Source organism: Homo sapiens, chromosome 13 (assembly GCF_000001405.40).
Source record: "Homo sapiens chromosome 13, GRCh38.p14 Primary Assembly".
In the NCBI taxonomy this organism is placed as follows: Eukaryota; Metazoa; Chordata; class Mammalia; order Primates; family Hominidae; genus Homo; species Homo sapiens.
In genome coordinates, this window is record NC_000013.11 from 77,573,176 (window position 1) to 77,592,542 (window position 19,367).

General features: G+C 38.5%; 1 protein-coding gene across 25 annotated transcripts in view; it reads left to right on the forward strand.

The window, feature by feature from the left end:
* SCEL (sciellin) overlaps nucleotides 1-19,367 on the forward strand; it is a 109,558-nt gene that overhangs the window by 37,470 nt on the left and 52,721 nt on the right. For all 25 annotated transcript variants that reach the window (NM_144777.3, XM_011535290.2, XM_011535283.2 and 22 more), the window contains 2 exons: nucleotides 15,969-16,049; nucleotides 18,220-18,285. In NM_144777.3, the coding sequence (NP_659001.2) occupies nucleotides 15,969-16,049; nucleotides 18,220-18,285 (147 nt within the window). The remainder of the gene's footprint in view (nucleotides 1-15,968; nucleotides 16,050-18,219; nucleotides 18,286-19,367) is intronic.

Genomic DNA, 19,367 nt, shown 5'->3' on the forward strand with positions numbered 1-19,367 from the left:
TGTGCCAGATATTATTCTAGGATCTTGGGATATATCAGTGAACAAAACATGGAGCCTACACTCTGGTCTTTAAAGAATCATGTTGTATAATCGATATCATCACTAACTCAGAAACAAAAACAGGTCTCCTATTTAGTTTACTTTTCAGGTATCCAAAGATGTTTTTATGTCTCAACATCTAGAATATTTTCATGTTTCAATGGGATCAGTTTTTCTAATTCTGACTATTGGAAAAGAAAATATTTTTAAACTCTGTGCTTATTTCATATTAGATTGGTTTATTTTATAGAATTTTCCTCTACTGTGCAGACTTCTAATGTCTCTTTCATTTCCAAGTAATGGATATGTTTAGAAATACATGTATTTTGCAATAATTTGAGTGGGCTCTATAAGGATGTAAATAAACTGTAGTTGGTCAATAGACACAAAGAGCTCAAGTTGCTTTTTTTATATCTGTCATTACATCTATCTATCTATCTATCTATCTATCTATCTATCTATCTATCTGTCTATCTATCTAATCTATCTCTGTCTGCTTGTCTGTCTACCTATCTATAACTAAATCAAATTACTGAACATGTTGAGCAGTCACAACTTGGAATCACATTTACCTACTGCTACAATGTTTTATTTTAGAACCTGCTCATCTACAGATGACTTCCAATTACATGAACTGCCATGTATGAATTACATTTGGAGTTTAAAACATTCTTTCCCCTCAGGCTGTTATTAGATACTTCGCTATGGGTGATACCTTTGATATAAGGAGCTATCTAAGTGGGGAAAATGTTGACTAGGAGTTAACTAGTTATTATTTTTTCTGAGTATTGTTAAGATCCATTCAATTTTGTCTTGATAGAGAATAACTGGTACTTTTCTTAGATATATTTATTACTTATTTAAAAAATAACTTCATATTTTTGTCCTCAACTCATCATTCCAATTGTTCATTATTCCAATATCATTATAAAAAGCAACTGGTTATATAACAGTGTAAAACATGGAAAGATTATTCATGAATTAACATCTCATGCTATCAATGCCTGTTGAGGTTGTGGATCGGTTTGCACAGAGCTGATGGGACTTGGCTCTATGCCCTCCCTCACAATTTATGCACTGCTGGATGTGATTTACATGGAAGATGAAATGAGTTACAATGTTCCTATTTCTGATTCTTGGCTCAGATCCATAGCTCCGAAACTAAGGGAAAGAGGAGATTATTAGGCTAGGTTGATCAGTTTATATATCCATTCCATTTTTAGAGTCACAGATTATTAATATAATGGCTAAACGAAAAGACTTCTCTTTGAGCATTGAAAATAATGTCATGCCAAGCCTTCAGGGGAAGGAGAGAATAATAACAATATAGCAATGCCTTTGATTTTTGAAGTGATTTTCTTTGGAAGAGCTCAAAGTACAGCTTCTGTTTCTCACCTTTAATGCCAGTACATTCCCAGGGCTGAGAAATAGCCTTTTTAGTAAATTCTGGAAAGTAGAAGCAATTATTAAATGATGAAAGGGAGTAAAGGCTTCACAAAGATATCTTTGTTCCCAGAGGAGCCCAAAGAAAATGGAAATAGGTCAAAAACAGATAAAAATGGGGGACTATGATTGATAACACTAGCTAATAGCTCAATGTTAAACATTTCCCTTTATCTTTCACTAATACACTGGTATTCATCTCTCCCCCTTCTCTCCTCTCCTATCTTCTCCAAAAGAATTTTCTCGTAAGACTGACACCCTCACTTTTTCTGTTCTTAATTTTGCAAGCTTTTACTTTTTCACCACCTAATCTTTCCCTGAAATTTCATTTTCTCTCATACATCTTTTTCTGTGCAGCACACTTGAAAAGACCATCAAACTTCCCTGTCATCCAGGAATGAGTCCTTTCCTGGAATTTCCTCCCTTGACCTCTCTGTAGCCCTTAACACCATGGGTTATCCCATCTCTCATTTGTCCCTTTCTTAATTTATACACTATGGAAAAAATCAAGTTCAGATTAAAAACTTGTGTTGTATTGTGTTTTGATTAAAATCTATTACAAGCCCAATGTAAACCACACCCAAAGGGACTTAAACTTTTTTTTTTTATCAACAGAAGAGCTCATAATATCATACCTTTGTTTAAATGTATATCTATGCCTATGACTATGTTAGTCTATCTTTATAATTAATATATCTATTCCTACGTCTACATCTATATCTATACTTACATGTAATTGTATGTTTATAATTAACACAAGGCTGGTGAGGTTAACTACAGCTGAAATGAGAAAATAGAGTTTTTTAAAATTATCATATTTTATAGCTAAAGAAAAAATGAAATTTCCTGAGAAGTGTCATTTTATGTATGATATACATTAGTTATGCAATAAGAGAGTTCAGACCTGGGTGATCAAACAAAATTTTGGAGTTAAGACTCGAATATCTTTGAAAGCCTCTTGTCCTATTTTTGTAAATGTTCACGAGAGAATCTAATTCATAACAGCAAGACATGGCATGTAAAGTTTTTAATTTAAATAAAACCTTTGGCCCTTCTAGCTTATTTCTAAGCTTGCTTCTTGGTCATTGTGATTTCAACCATTGGGATATTGATGTTTTCTGTCTTCTTTCTTCTCTTGCTAAGAATGGAAATAACCAATACAGTGTTTTGAATTATCAAGATATGCCAAGCAGATTATCCTTTGAAGTCTTCTTGTCAGAACATGTTTTCTTTTCATTTTAATCAAGACTGAATCAGAATTTTAGCTTTATAACTGTTGTTCCTCATCACATTCCTCTGTCTCTCCTCCTACCTCTGATCAAATTCCTGCTTCACTGGTTTCCCCATTTTCCATGTTCAAACCTCTTTCATCTTAAAAAATGTAGTTCCTAAAAATTTGATAGCCTAATCTTACAAACCTACTCAGCTGACACCCTTCCTCTCTTTCCATCTCAGCCAACATTCTCGGAAGAGTTGATGATGCTTTTCATCTCCATTTTCTGCTTCCTATCACCATTAGTTCATGGAAACAGCTCTCCCTAAGTCACTGATGACCTTGCTTATATCAGTCTGTATGATCTTGTGACCCTTCAAAGGGCACCACTGACTCTTTATGCCCTTATGAAATCTCTCTTATTGTGTTTCGAGAACCAGCACACTCCAACACACTCTGCTGGATTTTCTTTCTTTTTCGATTTCTCAGCCCTTCTTACTTAGTCTCCTCAGCTTCCTCATCATTTTCTATCAAGCCATTAAATATTGATGCTCCTAAAGGCTCCAAGTCCCTCTTCTCTTCTCCTCTTGTTCTGTGCTCTGCCTTTCAACAGCAGCATCCAGCTCCAGGGTTTCACCGGCCATTTGTGTGCTCGCCACTTCTTCATTTATATCCACTCCAGATCTCTTCTCTGAGTTGCCTTTGGGTAGCCCACTGCCCATTGTCTCAAAGACACCAGAAACTCAATGTGTTCAAAATGAAATCCATACTTCTTCATCCTAACCTGGTCCCCCATCTCATTCTCCTATAATGGTAGTTTAATGGGAATAGCATTGACTCTCTAAATTACTTTGGGCAGTATGGCCATTTTCACAATATCGAGTCTTCCTATTCATGAACATGGAATGTTTTTCCAATTTTTTGTGTCCTCTCTGATTTCTTTGAGCAGTGGTTTGTAGTTCTCCTTGAAGAGGTCCTTCGCTTCCCTTGTTAGCTGTATTCCTAGGTATTTTATTCTCTTTATAGCAATTGTGAATGGGAGTTCATTCATGACTGGCTTTCTGCTTGCCTGTTGCTGGTGTATAGGAATGCTAGCGATTTTCACACATTGATTTTGTATCCTGAGACTTTGTTGAAGTTGCTTATCAGCCTAAGAAGCTTTTGGGCTGAGACGATGGGGTTTTCTAGATATAGGATCATGTCATCTGCAAACAAAAACAATTTGACTTCCTCTCTTTCTATTCAAATATGCTTTGTTTCTTTCTCTTACCTGATTACGCTGGCCAGAACTTCCAATACTCTCTTGACTAGAACTGGTGAGAAAGGGCATGGCCATGTGTATTACTCTGTTGCCACACTGCTATGAAGAAATACCTGACACTGGGTAATTCATAAAGGAAAGAGATTTAATTGACTCACAGTTCCACCTTGCTGGGGAGGCCTCAGGAAATTTATGACCATGGAGGAAGGCAAAGGAGAAGCAGGGACCTTCTTCACAGGGTGGCAGGATGGAGTGAAGGCAAGCGGGGGAGGATGCCAGACACTTATAAAACCATCAAACCTCCTGAGAACTCACTCACTATCACTAGAACAGCATGGGGGAAACTGCCCCCATGATCCAATCACCTCCACCTGGTCCCGCCCTTGACACATGGGGCTCATGGGGACTACAATTCGAGGTGGGATTTGGGTGCGGACACAGAGGCAAACCATATCACCAGGTTTTGATCTGATTTCCCTTCAATATTTCGCTTCTATGTTACTTCTGTCCTGTTCTCTCAGCTCTACACTAAACCAGCTATAGTTTCCTTGATGTGTCCAAATGCCACTTGGATAAGGTCTTAATAAAGATATGGGATGGTGGGAGTGGTAGCAATATATTGCAGAAGCCCACACCAAACTACCTAAAATGAAATATTGGCCATCCCTATTATTGGGCGTTTCTTGTTGGCTGATGTTTCTCTGCAGGCCTTAACCTGCTGCTGTTTTGCTCAATAGCCCCTCACTCCTTTCTTCCACCTTCACTCTCCAGCCCCCCAGTTCCTGTTAACTACTTATGCCAGGGAGTTTAGTCCTTGTTTTTTTCCCTGCGCTAGCCTGTCCTTAGAGAATCTTATTATCATAACAAAACACAACATATTCACTTTTTGAGAGGCATTCTATGCTACTTTTTAAAATTAAATTTTTCTTGTGTAGTCATTCAGTCATTCAGTCACACCCACACTTAAAACATCAAAGCTGTCATGGACCTCTTTGTATTCCTTACTGTGTTTATTCAATCATCATTGCAGCGAGTTCCAGGGATTAGGGTGCTGATGGAGAAAAAAGATATGACCATGAGGTAGCAGAGGCATACCACAAGCCTAATTTGGGTGGTGCTTTCACAAGTTTTGCTTCTGAGGGAGTCACTCACCACATGAGAACCTCCAAAGGCAACTGCAAAGAGACCACCACCAAGAAAGGGAGGAGGGGGAAGGAACTCCTGGGGGAGCAGGGATCAGAGAAAGGGCTTTCATGTCTAGTTGGTGTCACTCAGCATCATGATGGGAGTCCCAGAGCAGAGAACTCTGAAAAGTGGCAGGAGCTTTGGGTCCTTTTTGGCCCCAAACGTTGGAGAATATGAATGTACAAATAACCATACCATAAGATCAACTGTGGGGGCATGAGAAGAACATCAGTATTCTCTGGGAGATCTGATGTTGTAGGAAGAGCTTCTAGCAGGGAACTCAGAGATCAGGTCCCCAAAGGGATGTGGGATTTGGGGGAAGGAAAGAAGTAACACAATGCTAGGTTTTTAAGCCCAGGGTGATTTTAAGCATGGTAATGCCACTAATCAATGTGGGAAGAAATAGGAGCAGAATAGGGAGTACCTAATTGGTCTTAAGCAGCTGACACTGTGCTTTGTTTTGAGCAGGTAGAGTCTGGGACACCGGCAGGATATATTTGTAGCAGTGATTCCCAAGTAAAGATAAACAGCTACAGGGGAGGAAGGAGTGTGCTCAGGTAAAAGGCAGGTTCCAAAGATCTAGGTTTGGGAATGAACCCAAGGATTTAAAATGTAGTATCTTTAGAGTGAAGATACCTGTTGAGAAAAGATTAAATGAGAAGAAAATGAAAGTTGAACTTTGATGTATGTCTGTACATTAGGTGTGTTGGGGGGCTAAGGTTACATGGTAAAGGTAAGGTGTAATGAGAGGTAGGTAGGGTGAAGGCAGTGTGGGTCGATGGATTCTACCATCTCAAACCAACCCATCCTTCAAGAAGTCTGGCATGAATTTTACTTCCTCCCGAAAGCTTTCATACTCTAAGGTGTTACTTTTGTCATCTGGACTCAGAAGGCTTATTATCTTTGATTCTCATTTAGCAATTAATTGTGCATTACTTTGACACATCACTTATTATTGCAGTGTACTCATCAACTAAATGGCATCATCTTATAACTCTTTGAATCATCAAGTTAATTTATCCATTGTAGTTTGTCAATAAGTACATATTGATTGATAGATTGATTTTAATATTTCTTAATATCTACTAGACAATGAATTTCCCTCAACCTGTTATCTTATTTGTCTTTTTGTAGTTGTGCTGTATTCTATGTGCTAAGTAACACCTCTCTCTCTTCCTCTCTGTGTTTCTCCCTGTCTCTGTCTCTTTCTTTTTCCAAAACAATTGTTGGGCTCTGCCAGGAGTACAAAAAGGAGTACAGAGAGAAAACTCAGCTTCTACCAGGGAGTCATTTTGAGCCAGGATTGTTAAACTTGAAGGCTGGCCCTCATCAAGGGAGGGTCCTTGGGAGTATGATAAACACAAAGGTCAAGGTAGACACAAAATATGTGGAGTGTGGAGAGGGAGGCAGTAGACGTTGTATCTGGAGTAGAGTAGGCTCAAAGGAGGCAATGCCAGAGGTAAGCCTTAAACAGCAAGCAAGAGTAAGCCAGATGCAAAGGGGAGGTGTGGATGGAGGCATTCCAGGCAGAAAGGAGAGGAGGAGCAAAGTTCCAGTGCCAGAGAGTACGGTGTGTATGGGCGTGTGTATGTGAGTGTATTTGTATGCATAGAACTATAGGCTTCCTGTCCATGGGACATTCTCTGCATTTGTCCTTTATCAATTATGTTTAGTGGTAGCATGAAATCCAGTAATTCCAAATCTGATGTTATGTGGGAAAATGTCTTTTAATGTAAGACACTGTGTGCAGATATCCACTCATAATTTGTGGTAAGCCTAAGAACCCTTTTAGAATATCATGTTTCTATTTTAAGAGTTAATGTTGTGCTGTTATGTAATTTGAGCTCTGACCATATGCTGTAGATTTGGAATATGTACAAAAGAAAGTGCAAGTGTCATCAATGTAGAAAATTACTAGAAGGTCAGAGCCATGTTCCCCTCTTCCCACTTCTTTTGTTTTATGATCTGCCCGAAAGCCTGATGCAAAGCGTGTCAGCAGTCACTTGGGGATGTCTTCATTTTTCAAGTTCTTAAACACTTTCTTGTTTTTGAGACTTTTAAAAGAGTGGTAGCATTTGCCGGACGTGAGCCAATGGAGGGAATAATAGGAGCCATCTGGAGAAATATTCAGGTGCATCACAAGGAACTAGAGAAATAACAGTTCTGGAAAGTTGAATTTCTTTCTGATTTCAGAACCTACCATTAAATTTTTGTATTCTGTTTTTGGTAAATTCAAATGATTCTAACTGTGTATTTAGGTGACTTGGAGATTCAGTGGTTAAATGGCATGTAAAGCTCATTTAAGAACCTCATGGAAGCCAAACTAAAGTACTTGCTTAACAGACAGTATGAATATTTATGAATGTTATTCATTATTCTCATTTAGGAACAATAATGAAGCCACCACTAGAAATGAATGTGCTTTTTTTCTGGAATCATTTTTAAAGATAGAAAAGAAAATAATATTTGATAAAATTAAAGTAGTAGAAACGCATCTGGGAAAATTACCATATAAATATTTTCTACATAATTTCTCATCCTTATTTGTTTTGACCTCTTCTCCTTCAGTGGTTATTTCACTTCCTGTTAGCTGATTGGTAGACTTGGAGGAGGAAAAAAATATCCTGATTGAGAAGTGAGTTGCCATGGCAACCTTGCACTACAGTTATATTTTTCTGTCTGTAACTATAAATGGTAAAATGTAACCTTTCTAATTATGCTGCAACATTTTTAACTCTATTGGTACCAAATCCTCTACAAAGTTTGATGTCATGCTAAATAAAAGCAATACATCTTATTTTTATCTCAACAAAAAAATATTTATATTAACTGGAATCTCTTTTGTAGAAATTAAGATTCTATGACACGCAATAAAATATCAAAATACAGTGATTTAAAAATCTTACCTGAATGCCTAGATTGCTCATTCTAAACATTCAAAATAATTAAAATATTAGCCTGAGTTTAAGTTTATTATTTTTAAAATGTGTTGTTTGAACAGAACAAGGAGAAACCTAATTCGCAATCTGTAAATGAAGGTCTTAACCTTTAGCAATGAATTATTTTTTCTTCAGTCCTATGGGAACAACCTAGACAGTCCCTGATTTCCTAACACTAGTTTGAAGTAACTCATACATTTGAACAACAAATGCAAAGCATCGCTGCTTTGCCCAACCCAGATTCCCACCTCTCCTCCCTCTCTTGGAGCTCTTGTTGCCTCCGCCCCTGCCAGGGGGGCTCCTGGAAATATGAGGAAGCAGGGAAGCTCTAGGTTCAAAAGTAGGATAAAGAAAGAAGCTAGGAGAATCAGGATACCTAGGGTCAAGCACTCTGTCAAAAACGTCACCTTGCTCCAATCATAAAAACCAAATAATTTGATTTTTTAAAAAATTATTTCACCATTTCTCCTAGTATTGCTGGAAGTTCTATCGACTAGAGATTGTAAATTTCACCTCAATTAGAAGCATGGCAGGTTAAAGGGACTGTCTCTGGTCATTCAAATCTTAGTGTCAGTTATATAAACCAGGTTTCTTTCCTGCTAAAACTGGGCAGAATTAGAGCATGCTGAGGGAATGGAGGCTTGCATTGTGTGGAGGGGAGTGGAAGATGGCTTTGGAGGAAGAAGACTGGGAGGCAGGGAGGCCTGAGTACAGTGAAGTATAGGTGATAGGGACATGCTGTGGTGTAGGGTTTGGGAGAGGACAATGGGAGTGGGGGATGGGGGTGAAAGGACCAACATTTTGCTTGGGACTGTCTTCATACTAGGCAGCCCATCTTTGTCCTCTCATCTCTCTGTCTCCTCTCTTAGCTATGTGCAGAATGTCATATAATGGAATCACACATTATATACACCCTTTTCATATGTTTGCATGTGTTTGTTTGTCATCTGTGTATCTTCCTTGGTGAAGTATCTGTTAAATATTTTTTTGAAATGGAGTCTCACTCTGTTGCCCAGGCTGGAGTGCAGTGGTGTGATCTCGGCTCACTGCAACCTCTGCCTCCTGGGTTCAAGTGATTCTCATGCCTCAGCCTCCTGAGTAGCTGGGACTACAGGTGCGTGCCACCACGCCTGGCTGAATTTTTGTATTTTTAGTAGAGACGGGGTTTCACCATGTTGGTCAGGCTGGTCTCGAACTCCTGACCTCAGATGATCCTCCTGCCTCGGCCTCCGAAAGTGCTGGGATTACAGGTCTGAACCATCCTGTAGGCCCAAGTATCTTAAATCATTTGCTCATTTTATTCCTGCTGGTTTGTTTACTTATTGCTGAGTTTTGAGAGTTTCAAAAAATACATTGTGCTTGGAAGTCCTTTGTCAGATATGTGAATAGCAAATATTTTTTCCAGTGTGTGGCTTGTTTTTCAATTCTCTTAACGATGCACTTTTGAGAGCCAAAGTGTTTTTTTAATTTAATGAAATCCAATTTATCAAGCTTTGTTAAATAAATTATGCTTTTGTTATTATGTTTAAGAACTCTTTGCTTAACTAATGATCACAAAAATTTCTTCTGTTTTCTTCTAAAAGTTTGTAGTTTTATGTTTGACATATAGATGTGTGATCCATTTTGAGTAGACTCGTTAGTAATGCTAACTTTTTTTTAGTTCACTTGATAATAGTTGAAATATTTTTATGTCTTTGAGAAAACATCTAAGGACAAAAAGCTGCTATGACTTAAGCAATACTTAAATTTGTGTATCTTTGTATCTACTGACCAATAAAAGTTGACTCATGTTCTTATAGAGCCAACTTAAATTTAAATTTTATTAACCACAACAGCATCTACATACCTTTAAAAAGCACAGTACATGAACGTCAAGGTACTTGTGGAGTGGAGGATTCCCTGCAATAGCGCCACCCTCCCTTATTCATGTAGTGGTTTACCTTCCACAGATCTGAGCCAATCTCCTCCTTTTATAGACAAATAAGCAGAGTTTTGGAGGGTAACAGAGCTTTTTCCAGAGTCAAAGAGAAAGTTGGTGGCAAAGCTAGCCTAGAATCTAGAATCTAGATCTCTAGAATTCTAGTCCAGTGCAAGCTCCATTACTAGGTTATGGTTTACTGACTGGCCACTAGAAAGCGAGGCATCATCACAGTAACCATTCTTTTGAACATGTGCCTTGCATTCTCCAAGCTCTTCGAAGGCATGGACTACATCTTTTCTAGTCTTTGACTGCCCAGTTACGGCTCATATACTGTTGTGTGTCCTAACATTATGAATGGGGCAGTTGTGGAGTAAGTGCTTTTTGAGCAAGGAAATATTTCAGATCAACCAATTTTTAATAGATTCGCAGTGAAAATACCTGGAAGAGAATTGGTTGTCTACAGTATGATATAGAGAAAAAACAAGGGATTTAACATCAGAAAGACCAGTTTGAAACCCTGGCTAAGCACAATAGAAAGTGAAAACAAAATTCACAGTTAAATATTAGAGACAATGATTCTGTGTTCAACCTAGATTTGTGCTGCAGTAATAGACATGTTCACACAGCCAGACTCAAACAGAAGTCACAGAGCCAAGCATGTTATGCAAAAAAGCCATGAGGAAAGACGTGATATTTGCAGCAGCATATGGAAATGAAGTAATATAGACAGCTTTCTTTACAGTGTTATTTCTTTTAGCTTTGGCCTTTGAGCTACAGTCTGCAAGTGTTCACATGTTTCTCGTGAAATCCACGTTTTTTATTCCTGAAAGCTCATCATGATAGCCACTAGTGTGGTGGCATATATCCTGCAGGACCCTTGAGGGGTCTGGGGATGGGTGAAGGGGAGAGCCAGGGTCAACTTACCCAAGCTTAAACATCGCATCTCAAAGCAGAATTCAATGAAGATCATTCCAATGAATGTCTCTTGTTTCCTTCTCTTCAGAACGTTCTGGCCACAGCTTCCTGCCTCGCTCTTGCATTTTAATCCCCCTGCTTGGCATCACATCATGCTCCTGGCACGACATGAATGACTCCTCTCATTGCCCGCCCCACCCCAGGGCTTGAGTTCTGTCATCTGTGGCTGTCATTGCAGTGATGCAAATGAAAGCTCCTTTGAGGTAAATGGAAGTCAACATGGCATCGCCTGGCTCCTGGCCCAGCAGGGGTGTAAATGCATCACCCTTGGAAATAAACATGCTTCTCTGCTTTTCTTGGCCTTCATAACTGCACATCCATCTTTCCCTTTCCTGCGTATTCTCCAGACCATTTCAGATCTACTTCTACTCCCCTGATCCACGCAATCCATATTTACCCACCTCTTTGAGGCCCTAGACATTTTAAAATGGAAGAAATTGAGTATGTCATTAACATGACTGTAACATAAGTAAAGCTTGGCACCATCCCATTTCTATTTTTTGTAATCCTCCTTTCCACCTTGTTACCTCTTTCCTGCCTGTCCTCAGACATCTAGTGTTCTGTACAGCCTCATTATTACCCAGGACTGATCACCTCCTTCCCCCTTTCCTCTGCCTCTGGAAGGAAAGCATGTAACCAATGAATCCACACAGATACACTAAAGACTGTATCACTTGATGCATACACCCAACACAAGGATATTTTCCGAGAAAAGAAGATGGTGGCAATACAAACAAAATACTGTAGAATCTGCCACTAAGCCAGGATGGGAAGACTATTTCCATGTAAATTGCTCTTCCAGAAATATCACACAACAGAATGATTCAGCCAAGTACCTGGCACCTAGTAGGTGTTCTGTAATGGGATTGACAGTGGAATTCTCCTATGAGGAAGCTAAACTTGCACAGATTTTGAAAGTTGCAAATCCGTCTTTGGTACCCATTTCCTCCCTGCCAAAGAAATTCAGCCAATCACTTCCTCCTTCATTCTTATGCCATACACAATCCTAGTACTTGGGATATAGCTGTCCTTTTAGGAACTTTCAGTTCAGTGTGGGAACAGAATATCATGTGTAATCCAGAATAGTGTGATATGTGCTGTGAATAGGGTTGTTATGGGGGAATGTAGGGATGTATATAGCATGGCTTTGGGTATCACTGGAGATAGATACTCCTAAACCAAAGTCTGAAGGGCAAGGAGAGAATTTCCAGGTGAAGGGAAGAAGGAGGTGCTCCACAGCGGGGAGAGAATATGGTGGGGTGCATTAGGAAGGGTAAGAGTTTGTCACATCTGCAGCCCTGGGGTCATGTGGGGTGAAAACAACAACCACTACAGCAAAAGACACTATTTCCTGTGTGGAAGCCAAGCATGTGCGCGCTCTTCTGGCTTCAATGTCACCATCAACATGAGAGCCAAGAGACCCACCATGCTTGGTGCTCCACTATCCATCACCCACGGCCTCACCACCACTCTGCTGAAAGTTCTCAGGACTCATTCCATTATGTCCTTTCCATAGACCCTCATTGAAACCCCAGTCAGGTCATTTCTTATCACCTGGACCATCTCCACAGAGCTCTGTACCTCCCTGAACCTGACCCAACCTAATATCACACTGAGCTCTCAAACCCTTCCACTCCACCTTGCTGAGCGTGTCATTTGTCATTGCCAAAATCCTCCACTCTTCAGCCTCCCCTCTGAATGATCTCCCACCTTTTTGTTGTGCTCTTCCAGAGGACCCTGCTTCCACAGCCTGTCTCTCAATAAGGGCTGTTTTCCCTCTAAACTGACATATCACAGGGTCCGGATGAAGGTAGGGGTCTTGTTTGCTTCTCATCACCACCTGCTGTTAATTTTAACTCCCTCCTCCCTGAAACTCTCCATCTCCTTTGAAGCCATGCCCTTGTGAGCTTCTCATCTTTGTTGGAGTCATCTGAAGGTCTCTGAGACACTCACACTCATTCTTTGAAGACTTCAGCACCACGCTCACTGTCTTTCCCAAACCCTCCTCTTGTCATAATGCTTGGTGATTTCAAAATCCATGCAGAGGATCCTTCCCCTCCCCGACCACTCACCTTTGTGACCTTCTCCCCGATGATCTTGTTCTTCCCACTACTGCAGCCATTGATAGATCTTGCCCTGTAAATAACCACATACCCTACAAAATTACAAGACTTCTACTTCAAAGCTTTCCCTCTCTGGCTCCCGCTTTCTCTCTGTCCAGCTCACTCCCTTCAGTCCTTTGATTCCAGGAATTCCTCAGCCCCATCACAATCACCAGTCCATTAATTCTACCAGTTTTTTCACAGTCCCCACTACTCATATTCTCATTTCCCTCCATGCCCATCTCAAACTCCACAGCCCCCATTGTAACCCCTTCCTTGAAGACCCCTTCCACTCCCTTGCCATCATTCTCTTTGTTGCACTCACTTGGCTGAATTGTAAACGTGGCTAATGGTAAATCCAACTCTCAGTCTATTCTGTTCCTCCTCCCCAACCAGTTGAATATGGCAAGAGGAAACAATGCCAAATAACCTGATTTTAAGCCCATGAGTACTAACCTCAACTGAGCCATTGGTATGGCCCAAGGATCCTTCAAGAGACAGCACAGCATTTGGAGGGTTTATGCAGCCAGACTTTCCCTTTCAGATTCCCAGCTCTGCCCCTTATGAGCTGCATCATCATGAGATATTTATCTTTATGTTCTGTGCTTCAGTGTTTTAATCTGTAAAATGGGAAGAAGAATAATACTTATGTCTGGGATTGCAGTGAGGATTTCATTAGTTAATATATGTAAAGTGCTTAGAAAAGTTTCTGGCACATAATGACCCCATATAATAGTACATCATCATCATCACCATCTTACTACGTTTCCTGGGTCCACTTACTCTTCTGCTTGCCTAGAAAACCATTTCACACATTTTCTCCGCCTCTTTCTTTCTCACACAGTCCTAATCCCTACTCAACCTCCTCACTTTGAATCAATGATCTTGATTGTTATTTTACTGAGAAAATAGAAGTAAACAAAAGAGAACCTTCCTCACTCTGAGTCAATGAACGTACCCCAGCTATACTCATCTAGTTCTTTCCCTCTTGCTGCTGTGAATGAGCCCTCTGTACTTCCATCTAAGATCAACCACCACCCTGTGCCTTAGGTCCCATCAATTCTCAAAGTCATCTGTCTAGTGATTTCCCCCTCTCTCTCCTGCATCAATGATTCACTGGATCATTCCCATCATCATACCTACATGCTGTAGTAACCTTCCTCGATCCATCAGCCTCGAAGTAGCTACCCATTTCTGTCTTCCTACTTTACTGCCAAACTGCCTCAATGCCTCTATCTCCTTGCTTCCCCATTTTTTCCTAAATCCACTCGTATGATTTTTTTTTCTTTTCCCACCATCGTTCCATCAAAACTGCTCTTATCAGGGTGACCAAAGACCACTCTGTTGGCCAAACCATGGTAATTTCCCAGTCCTTGTTTTTATTTGATTAACAGTAGCATCTGAAATGGCCAAGTACTCTTTCCTTGAAACTTTTCTCGCTTGGCTTCTGGGATGCCACGCCCTTCTATTACTCTTGTTTCCTTCTTGGCCACTCCTCCTGATTCTTTTGCTGTTTTCATCTCATATTCTTGACCTCTAAATATTGCAGGGCCTGAAGGTCCAACCCCTGGCCCTCTTTTTGTCTCTACTTACACTGACTCCCTTAGTGATCTCTGCCAGTTTAAAGCATTAAATACCATCTCTAAGCTAATGATGGCTGTATTTATATGCTTTTTCTCCAGATAGCCTCATGGCTTACTCTATTACTTCCTGCAGGTCTTGGTTCAAATTTCACCTGACAGAGAGACCTTCCCAGTCCATTCTAAATAAAATAATCTTCCCATTCCATCAGTCTATATCTCCTTATTCTGTTTTATTATTATTATTATTTGCACAGCACTTTTCTTCTTCTGACATATATTTATTTGTATATTGAAAGCCTTTGAGAACAAGGACATTACCCAGCTCACAGAGAGCCTTCCTTGCACATAGAAAGCTACCAATAAATGTTTGTTGAGTAAAAACACAATCTCATTCAGTCCTGACAATACCCCAACAATCCTATTAGAAAGATTATTACAGATGAAGAAACAGAATCAAGTTAACCTGTTACCACACAGCTGGCAATTCAGGCAGCCTGACTCTAGCCCACATGCCTATCTACCATTGCTACAGAAGCCAGAAGGGTACACAGGATCAGAGGGTTCTTTTACCAGGTACAGAGTTTATGTTGAGGACAAATAGAGAACTGCTGGGGTGGTAGTGGTGGGGAACACAGGGGAGTGACATACTCTTAGTAAGGTGCTGACTCCATCCAAAATGTGCACATAATTGCCCATCTCCAGTTCCTACCTCATTAAGTCCTGCCAACTCAGAGACTGCTGTGGTGCTTCATTGGAAAGTTTAGGCTGACGGTAGATTGTATATATGCTTTGTCAGCATCAAAGTGGCCTGTGCTGACAATATTTAAGTCAGATTTAGTTAAGAGCTTCAAATCAATGCTACCTTGAGGTCTCTGAAATTAAAGCCTTTTCTTGCTGTTTCCATAGCAGCCTGATAGTTGACATAATCCCCAAAGAAGCTTATATATTAATACCCAAGGACCATTTACAGTTCTCATGCACTGCTGACCTGAAATGCCATGACTAGAGCTAGATATACTAGCAAAATATTGAGTTATTTAAAGAACATAGTATAGTCCAAACTATAGTGAAAGAGGATTGGGTTTTCAAGAACCTGATTAAATAAACTTTAAAAATACACATATTTTCAATATTTGACTTCTTTAAAGTTTAGTGCTCCATGGATTCTGACCTTTCAGGTACCTCACACATGGGGGTTGTAAGATGCAAAGGATATTTTTATGTAGGCAATAAATGCATTCAGTTAATAGATGCTAAAATTTACCATGTTTCCATGGTGAAATGAACTGCTGTTTTCTGTTTTAAAGGGAACCAGGTGTTCACCCTCCAATACCTCCAAAGCCCAGTTCTCCTGTTTCTTCTCCTAACCAGCTGAGACAGGATAATAGGTAAGACCTAGTACTCCAGAATTTCTTGACAAAATGAAGTTCAAGGGAAATGAAAGTAAATGGACTGTGACCCGCTGTGGGCAAAGCATGAATGTTTTGTGTGCACATTCCCTAAAGAAGCGCCTGTAGAACTTTTTCTAATTTTATTTCCCAACACATATGTTTATTTATGTTTGTCTTTGAATACTAATGGCTAACTTGTCTTAAGAAAATATGCCTTCAAGATAAAAATGGAACAATATTCATGTTCAGAAAGTGTTTGTACACAGACTTTTTATATATTTGCTCCTAATATACAAATATAAATACATATATGTATTTGACATGTATCACATATAATATACATATAAACCATATTAAAAATGTATTTTTTGTTCATGTTTGTTCCAAGTTAAGTTTCCCACTAAGAGATACAGATTCTGATGAACGATGTTCTTGAAACTTTGTGTTACCACTCAAATCCTTGCTTATGTTACAAATACCTTTGAGTAGTTCTTTAATCTTTTTTTACTGAAGGGATTTGTAATTTATTTCAAAACTATCACAAATTTTGAAAGATGTTCTAATTGACTTGTCTCTGAATCAGGAAAAATAGACTTGCTTCTCAGCTTTGAATCTCTGTCACTCTATAATTAATACTTGGAAACAAATTCAGAGATCTGAACTCTTCCCATGTGTTACATTTAAACTGTTTAATATATCTTGAACAATTTTTCAAGATGTACACCCCACATTTCCATTATTATTGTGAGATTAAAAAATAGTAACTCAACGGAGATTGACTACATTACATCTCCTTGATTGCCTACTGTTGCTTCTTTTGTATTTTTGCTCTTCGATGGTGATTTTTTTGACACCACGTAAGACACAATTATGAAACTATTCTTTAATAAGACACAACCATAGAACTACTTTTTAGTAGACACAATTATAGAAATATTCTTCATTAAGAGAGTAACTTCAGTTACAAAGTTTTGACTGGGCAGCAGGACCATGTAGCAATAGGTGTTAAAACTCCAGGTTTGAATTTCTGTTCAGTGAAACTGCACAGGATCTTTGAAATTTTGTCCATAGGATGAGAGCATAATTTTTTAAATTGAGTCAAGAGAATATTTCTTCACTGAACTAATTAAAAATATAGATCAGATTTATAACTTTTTGTTTGTATGATGGTTATAATGATCTCTTAAAAATATCTTCTCAAGCTTTTTAATCTTACATTATTTTTCCTCTAACTCTTCTAGTATTGAGCAATTAAATCCCAATTTGAATAGAATTGTTTTAAGGGGCTAAAATTAATTGGCCTTAGTACCACCGATATTCTAATCTAAAATCAGCATCACTAGAGCTACAAGCTTGTTTAAATTTAAAGGAAGCTAAATTTCACAGGAACTTACTACTCAAATTTCTTTATTCTACCAATGATCTAAAAAATAAAATTGGGACAACTTGCATGTTTTTTTAAAGTCCTGACTACTTTAATCACAGCAAGATGATTTTAATGAAAGAATATGAAATGGAAGTGTTTCCTATGTAATTAACACATGTCCTCAGGAGTACAAAAAATAGTCGAATATAGCTTCTTGAGAACAAGTAGGAATGTATAAGTAGGTCAACCAGATACTTTAAAAAAGAGTAGAGAAAAGTCTTAAATTGTGCCAGAACCTAACATAATAAAATTTAATTCTGTCAGCTTAGTATGGTCATTCCCAATGTAGTAGGTGTACTTGAAACATAGACTCTTCTTCCCACCTTTTATGAACAAATATATTTCTTGATAGTATTCAAATGGGATAATTCTTTAAGAAAAAAATCCCTTTGATGCCCATAACAAAAATTAATATTTTAAAATGTTATATCATTATCTGATAGAGATAAGTATGAAAATGCTTTATTGATGGAGAACAAAAAACAACATAAACATATTTAGAACTTATAAGTCTAGATAGATCCAGTGGTTTACAAATATGCGATAAAGATAGATTAAATTACAAACTCAGTATACTGGAGTTCCCGCCAACCCAAAGAATTTAAGTTTGTTATCTCAGGTAGTGTTATGGTTCCAACAAACACTGATCTTTTTGTACATAAATTTTTTAAAATAAATTTCAATTTATCAAAAAGTGTTTTCTTTTCTGACTGATATAATCTTCTAACTTTGAAAATATAGGCAGATACATCCACCTAAACCAGGTGTATATACAGAAACCAACAGATCTGCTGAAAGAAATATAAGGTACACTGATTTCTATTTATATCTATGTAACTGTAGTAATGATAAAGTATGCTTTCTCAGCACATTAAAAAATGCAAGGCAATTAATAATAAGGTAGACAAAATCAGTTTTCCAACTGACTCCAAAATATTAATAAATGTTTTTGTAGGCACTTTCAGAATTTTGTTCCTTTTAATTCTATCCCAAACTTTCCATTAAGAAAACTACCAAAATGGTGTGAACAAGGTAACAGGATAAGATCAAACCCACTAAAGGCAGGAAAGCTTGCTCACCTCTTTATTCCCAGGACCTGCTCTGAGGTCTATGATATAGTTGGTGTGGATGTATAAAGAGGTGGAAATACAGTTGTTCAGTTGAACTTGTGTTACAAAATCCTGCAGCATCAGGAAGAAGCACATTGATGCCATTTGTTAAGGGACATTCACCAAATGTCGTCGGGGGGGAGGGTAAGGTGGCATTCCCCAAATGTCTGGTCTCCCGATTTACACTTCTAATTTATGCTTGTTGTCTTGCACATCCTATTTAGTCTAGCATTTGTTCTGGATGTGTCTTCTTTTTCTCCCTTTTCTAAGGAAAAAAATTACTTTTTGAAAATAGTTTTTAAACAGTGCAATTTTATAGGTCTATCAATATGATAATTTTTCAGTCAAAAGATTTTTATGACTGAAAAAATTACTTTGAAGTTTAAAACTTATATACTTTTCATTTTTTATATTATCCCCGTTTGACTTTCAGAAGAGTGCCATTCTAAAAGACACATCACATGTATTCTCTTCTTTGGAGAAAGTCATGTTTCCCTTGTTCTGAGGAGCTTACAGCACCACTCTTGGCATTCCCCAACCTGTGTTCTATGTGCCACAGGATGTCAATGCATGTTCTGCAAAAGAAGAGTTCAGTGTTTCACTACATTTAGGAAACACAGTTTAATAGAGTTTTCTGCCACAGAACTTTTCAGAATCTTTAGTGTGCTTATGTGTATTCCAAATCAGCAAAAGTCGGTTACATTTCCCAACTTACTTGGCTACAAAATCCTTTCTTCATGGAACCTTATTAACCATCTATGAGATACTGAGTTCTTTTCT